Below are 7,096 nucleotides of genomic sequence, written 5' to 3'. Positions count from 1 at the left end.
ATTGCTGGGATTACAGGTGTGAGCCACTACCCCTGCAATCAATATATATTTTTAAATAAATAAATAAATAACTTCATAAATGCATCATTTCTCCCCTGCAAATAGTATGAAAGAGAATTTCACAAGGCTATTTTGGACTCCTGTTAATGCTGAAAGAGACCAATACTGCAAATGCCATTACTTACTAAATATTCTGATTTTCTGCTTCATACAGACAACAGGGAGGGAGATAACCAGGCATCACATACCTGTGAGTGTCACTCTATGGCCCTGCTGTGCACAGTTTGAATCTAATGCTCAATATATACCATTTGACACTTCTCTGGTTATACTCTCCATCTGTGATACAGTTCCTGTACCTGGGAGTGAAAATAAATGTTAAAAAAGCAATTTATTATTAGCCTTTGAAGCAAAACCAGCGCTTTTTATTTCATCATTATAATTAAAATGTGCCTTACATTATTTTTAAGTTGTTACACTTGCTGTGGAGAGAACAGCCTATAATATTTCTGAATTCAGCCACTTAAGTGTGTGCTTGTGACTGTGACCCTAGTAGCCCCAGATGAAAAATGGGTAATCTTTTTGAAGTTTCAAATACAAATTATATAAAACAATTAACATTACTACTTAAAATTTAAATGTACGATAATTAATTTTGAATAATTAATACATACACGTAATACAACATTTTGAAGGTCAAAAGGTTATGTGGCAGCTCCTCTCCCAAGGATGTAAATGTTCTGTATTTGTGCCGTCCGGTATGGTATCTACTAGTCACGTGAGATACCTACACATTTGAAATGTGGCTATTACGACTAAAGAAGTGGCTTTTTAATTTTAATTTAAAAGCTCCATACCGGACGTGCTCACGCCTGTAATCCCAGCACTTTGGGAGGCTGAGAGGGGCGGATCACGAGGTCAGGAGATCGAGACCATCCTGGCTAGCACGGTGAAACCCTGTCTCTACTAAAAATACAAAAAATTAGCCAGGCATGGTGGTGGGCGCCTGTAGTCTCAGCTACTCGGGAGGCTGAGGCAGGAGAATGGCGTGAACTCGGGAGGCGGAGCTTGCACCACTGTACTCCAGCCTGGGCGACAGAGCAAGACTCCATCTCAAAAAAAAAAAAAAAAAAGAAAAGAAAACTCCATATAGCTGCAGTATTAGATAACACAGCTCTAGCCATTAAGCCTCTCATTTGCCAAGTTACTTCTGTTTCCAGGTTGTGTGTATTCTTTTGTTTTCCGTGGTGTGATCTCAGTGCATAAAAGCTACGCAATATGGGTCAGAGAGGGCAGATCCTGTCTCTCTGATTGACCCCATCAACTTAGCCTTTGCTGGAGGGATTACTGATGCAGAGCAAAAGGATATGAAGCTCCAATGGTGGCCATCTCCCTCAGGGTCACAGACTAGGAAATGCCAGCTCTTCCTGGTCAGTATTTTCCCTGAAGATTTCCTGGATGTATCCTAAAAACGCTTCTAAACAAACTCAAAGCAGAAAGAGACTGCCTGGGGATTTCATCATGCATGGCAATGAATGACTTTATGTGTGAGGATAATACTATTGAAGTTTCACTGCCAGCTGAGGTGATGGGTTTGTCCTATGCCATCACATTCCATTGCATGTTACTGTGAGTTCCTTTTGTGAAAAGCTGGTGAGTGATAAGGTGCAGTTTGACAAGAATCCAAAGAGAAAATGCTACCCCTTCATTTTTCTTTTAAAAACATTATAGATATCTAGTATCAGAAGTTCTCTAAGAGGTTATTTGAAATGAGTAATACACTTCTCTTTATTACATGGGAAGTTTAAAAGACAGTAGAATACATCGTATATATGTATCGGAACATCACACTGTACCCCAGAAATATGCGCAATTATTACGTATCAATTAAACATAAAATTAAAAAGACAGTGGTACAGTAGCACAGAAATGGTAATACAATTTTCTTTGTGGTCCTGATGAGCAAGGAGACCATGCTTATATCTTTTATCTTTGAATAAGATCTCTAAAGACAGATTACCCCTGATATCTTTTATTCCCAATCTCTGTCTCCAGCCCCATCTGATGAATATTTGAATAAATGTTAAAGCCTCTCCGATCAATACTGATTTTATATATACCTTAATGGTTTCTCTAAGATGATATCTTGAGAATACAAAGCAAAGAGTGAAATACAGTGAAATGATCATGACATGAGAGCAGCAATTCATTTTCAGAACTTCCTTCCAGATAGCTCATGTGCACACAGCAATGTGAAATACATGCAGGGCACTCATGGGTATGACATCATAGTCTACCTGTGTTCCTGCAGCTGATTTCTTTTAACTCAGAAATGTCAATATGTCATGACATATTGCCATGTCAAAAATTATTGTGATAAGAACAAACATCTATTAAATGTTTACTTATTCATTTAATAAAAGTGTTTTGAGGCTCCACCAGGCCCTGTGATAAGCATTTCAAATGCATCCCCTCACTTAATTTCTACAATTCTCTGAGTCAGTTACTTCTGGAGAGGAGATATAACTTGCTTAAAGTAATAGAGCTAATAAATGGTAGAATGGGGATTTAAAGCTTGGCTTATCTGATACCAATGTTTGTGACCTTAAACCCTGTGTTACACTGTCGACATGATTATTTTTAATGACTCATTTGCATTCCATTGTGTTATGTCTCATAATTTATTTAGGGTGGTTGGAAAAATCTTTTATCACATTCAGCTACCTAACTCTGTAGACAAGATACAAATCCCAAAAATAACTGATTTATTCCTTGGAATCCAATTCCTTTTTTTTTTTTTTTTTTTTTGAGATGGAATCTCGCTCTGTCACCCAGGCTGGAGTGCAGTGGCATGATCTCGGCTCACTGCAACCTCTGCCTCCTGGGTTCAAGCGATTCTCCTGCCTCAGCCCCCTAAGTAGCTGGGATTACAGGCACGCATCACCACACCTGGTTAACTTTTGTATTTTTAGTAGAGACGGGTTTCACCATGTTGGTTAGGCTGGTCTTGAACTCCTGATCTCATGATCCTCCCACCTCGGCCTCCCAAAGTGCTGGGATTACAGGTGTGAGCCACTGCACCCGGCCTGGAGTCCAATTCTTATGCTTCACCTTAGAGTTTTCTAGTTTTAAATTTTAAACTTTTCATTGTACCAAGAATTTGCTAGAAATATTCTTGGGATGATACGAAAGGGAGTGGTTACCTTGAGCTGCAACAGGGTTTTGCATGTTTTTATCATTTGTGTTTACAACTATAAAAATAAATATATACATACATAAATGCATAAGCAAAACCCTTAATGCAATAACTTGTAGTTCTCCATTGTTCCCCCTCTGAACATTCAAAACAAGCTCCCAAAACACAGAATTGCCAACTCATCATTCAAAGATGGGCAAATCTTTGTCTCCAGATAAAGCTGTTAATTGTCCATTTATTATTCTCCAATGATCCCCAATTGTTTCATTAGCTGACAGGAGAAAATGCCAGTTCATTCCCTGTTAAAAAAACAAGGCCAGTATGAAGTTACATACTTTTACTCAGGCAACATGTTAGCCTGTTGTTTTATGAATAATGTCTTAGATAAAAACAAAATCTCTGCCCTCATTATTCTCTCTCCCCTAACCCTGGAAAATAACAGAAGAAAAAATAATCTCATGTTGATTTCTCTACTTGCCAACCAAAGATTTTACATTTCTTACGTAGTTAGTATGTAAGAAAGATTTTGAAGATCAAATTATATCTAGACTATTGAATACTTATCAAGAGTTTATCCCCAAACTATTATACAGTTATTTTACTTTTAACTTGATATTTTATATAATAATATCTAAAAATGCTTTATAGGTATTTTTACCTGTGTTCTGTGATTGAAGGACAAGTTTATTGCATTTCACATGAATTGAGCCAAAAAACTGTAGACCTTATGAAAGAATAAAAAGTATATAATTGATTTTCAAAGTAGGTCATACACTGTCATTGGCAAAACTTTAAGACAATTCAAGTTCATAGGAATGAGAAAAGAAGGAGTTTATTTGTATGTGCCTATATGCATCTTAGGAAATAAATTGTCCTTCTCAATGTAAATATAACAGACCTTTAATTTTAAGAAGTATTTCAAGGCTGGCATCTTTTTATTAAAGTAATTAGATTTTAATGTGTTTTTTATAGTTGTATCTAAGTCAGGAGATACATTCTTAATTTTTGATTAAAGCCTAAAGTTAAAATGCCCATCCCCTTTCAATGAAGAGAGATTCAATGAATTTCCTCAGAGATGAGCCCTTATTCTAACATGTCTTAGCTAAAGCTTTGATGGCTATTTGAATATCAACAGTATTATTGACTGTGATGAGTAAAAATAAAAATAACCTGAAATAAGTTTCCAAATTTAGACTTAGTTACAATCTCTGATCATGTTGTTATTTTTTTCCACTTTGCTTTTCTCACTCTTTCAAACCTTCTCTCTGATCATTTTTCTTTTTCCAGAAATTTGTGAGAGCCATACAAACAAACCAAAAGTAAATCAACAGACATAGGTGTCTAAATGAAACACCTACGACTTTTTTAACCTAAAATTCTCTAGAGTTTTTAGCAATCACTTTAGCTCTTTGCTTATCAGTCAGAATCTGAAATGCTACCCATTGTAGGAAAGCCGGAAGCCATCAACAGGCAGAAGTTATGGAAATATTTAACAAACATAGTCTTGTTGATGTGATTATTGTTGCTTTTTATTTTTACAGTATGGTACAGCCAAATGTAAAATTTCTTTTGTAAGTGTTGATGTTGAACACTTACAAAATGTAAGTTGATGATAAACCAACTGTAGATGCCTGAAATTCAGCTCATTCCCTTAATAATGTCTATTTTTTGAAAACCATGGACTTTATTAAAGGATAAAAAGGATGTGTTGAGAAGACAAAAGGGTACTGTTGGTGTAAGCAATGTGTTCTACATCATTTAGTATGAAGTTTTCATATGAGTGCATATATACACTCACATTCATTTCAACCTGTAACAATTAATTAGAATGCTTATACATTAATGAATATTCTATACCTAGTTCTCTTTAAGTAAGGAGATAATACACATTTGTTCAATTCTAAAAGTATATGTGTACTTGTGGCTTATTATACATACATATATGTTTAATATCTATTTATCTGTCTATCCGTAATCTATTTGTCTGTAGAGACTTGCAAATTACATAGATTGAGGTTAGGGATTGGATTTGTTCCTCGTTATATCAATATATGTAATGTACCAGCCATTATTCTAGAACCTAGTAGGTATTGCATAAATATGTATTGATTGAATAAATGAATGACTATTAATAGTTTTATTACAAACTCTCAACTGTTTTTCACTAAGATGTTAGCAAAACTCTTTCCCATAAAAGGTAAACAAAAATCAGCTTTTAATAGTGTGGAGAAGATGTTTAAAAATTTCATTATAAAACAGCTTTAAAAGGTCATGGCCATGGTGGCTTATGTCTGTAATGCCAGCACTTTGGGAGGCTAAGGCAGGAGGATTGAGGATTGCTTGAGGCCAGGAGTTTGTGACCAGCGTGGGGAACATAGTGAGGCCCCATGTCTACAAAAAATAGAAAAATTAGCTGGAGATAGTGGCTTGCACCTGTAGTCCCAGCTACTTGGGAAGCTAGGGTGGGAGGATTGCTTGAGCCTAGGAGCTCCACACTTCAGTGAGCTGTGATCACGCCAGTGCACTACATCCTAGGTGACAAAGCAAGACCTTGGGTCAAAAAAAAAAAAAGTCCATATACTCTTACTAAAAGCCCTTTTCTCTTCTGTTCCTCCGTCTTTCTTGTGGAGTGTAGCAGAAAGAGATTTTAATAAGCTTGTTACTGGGAAAAGTTTACCTCAAGGATATAGGCCTCCCTTTAAAATCAACCTATTTCAAAATCATGTGTATTTTGGTACTTTCTGAAAACTTATATATCTCCATCCCAGCATCCCTGAAGATTTTGCTTCTTACTTGATTTGTGATTGCTTATGTGGTTATTGGATAAAGAGGTAGTGGTTGTTCCTGAAATTCAAAATCATGATCCATCATCTGTCATCTTCTGGGTAACATGTGGCCAGAGTTCTAAAGTCTTCAGGATATGACCAGCTGAAGATAAAAATAGGAATAATTTTAGAACTCAGGAAAAGGCCCTAAATATGGTAGATATTTTGGTACTTTTAGCCACATAGAGTGCAGATAGGACTAGCCTAAATACTTGTGAGAACTACAATACAATTTCCAGGAAATAAGTAGATGAGAATAATAAATCAGGCCTTTACTTTAGAAAGGTGGAGGTGAACCAGAAAAGGGGCCTGCAGGTACACAAAACTAAAAGATGCTAAAACAGAAATCGTTCACCAAAGAGTATATTCAATCTGCTACAGTTTTAAGTCATGAATAACCATAAAGAATTAAGGGAAATGCCCCTTTAAAAAATAGATTGGCTACAAAACTAGGGGAATAGTTGAAAAAATAATTGCATTGTTAAGATTTACTTTATGAGTACATTTACAGAGTTAGAATAAGTAGGAAGAAGGAATAATCTGTCACTGAAATGTCTGCAAGGAAATTTAAGTAATGATTGAACTTAGGTGGGGATAATGAACTGCAGAGTGGGTACTGAAAAAAATAGAATTTGTTCCATGGAAGGCAAATCAAAAAAATTACCCATAATTCTATGGCAAAAAAGAAGTGTTAAAAATGATGAGCGAAAAAAATAAGAGATGAGGATAGTTCCAGGAAATCTACAAAACAAGAATTGCAGAAAAAGAGAACACAGGCATAGTGAGTCTAAATCTCAAACATTAAAAAAACCCAACCAGCCAAATAATTAAATCTAAAAATCAAAAAGACCAACGATTAGTCCTGCCAAATTAAATAAGACAAGCATATTAGTAAAACATTTACATTTCAAGGATAAAGAAATAATCTTTCAGGACTGTAGATTTTCAGATAAACAGGTTGCCAAAAATGAAGAAAAATCTCTCAAATAAATTAAAGTCTTTGAACAAAATAACAATAAAACAAGAGGTTAGAATATATGGAGCCTCGCTAAATCTACTCTTAGAGAACAATTTA

At 35.5% G+C, this 7,096-nt stretch overlaps 1 long non-coding RNA gene across 2 annotated transcripts; it reads right to left on the bottom strand.

The window, feature by feature from the left end:
• Nucleotides 1–254: 254 nt before the first annotated feature.
• LOC105372678 (uncharacterized) lies at nt 255–6,118 on the bottom strand. 2 transcript variants are annotated; one of them, XR_001754724.1, is made up of 3 exons: nt 5,990–6,118; nt 3,855–3,920; nt 255–359 (listed from the first exon to the last, which is right to left on the bottom strand). It is a non-coding gene; the product is annotated as an uncharacterized LOC105372678 (long non-coding RNA). The 2 variants fall into 2 exon arrangements; XR_001754723.1 differs by lacking the exon at nt 255–359 and adding an exon at nt 3,405–3,495.
• Nucleotides 6,119–7,096: the final 978 nt, after the last annotated feature.

This window comes from Homo sapiens, chromosome 20 (genome assembly GCF_000001405.40).
Source record: "Homo sapiens chromosome 20, GRCh38.p14 Primary Assembly".
Lineage (NCBI taxonomy): Eukaryota > Metazoa > Chordata > Mammalia > Primates > Hominidae > Homo > Homo sapiens.
The sequence above is the reverse complement of the archived record's forward strand: the minus strand, read 5'-3'. Positions and strand labels throughout refer to the sequence as shown.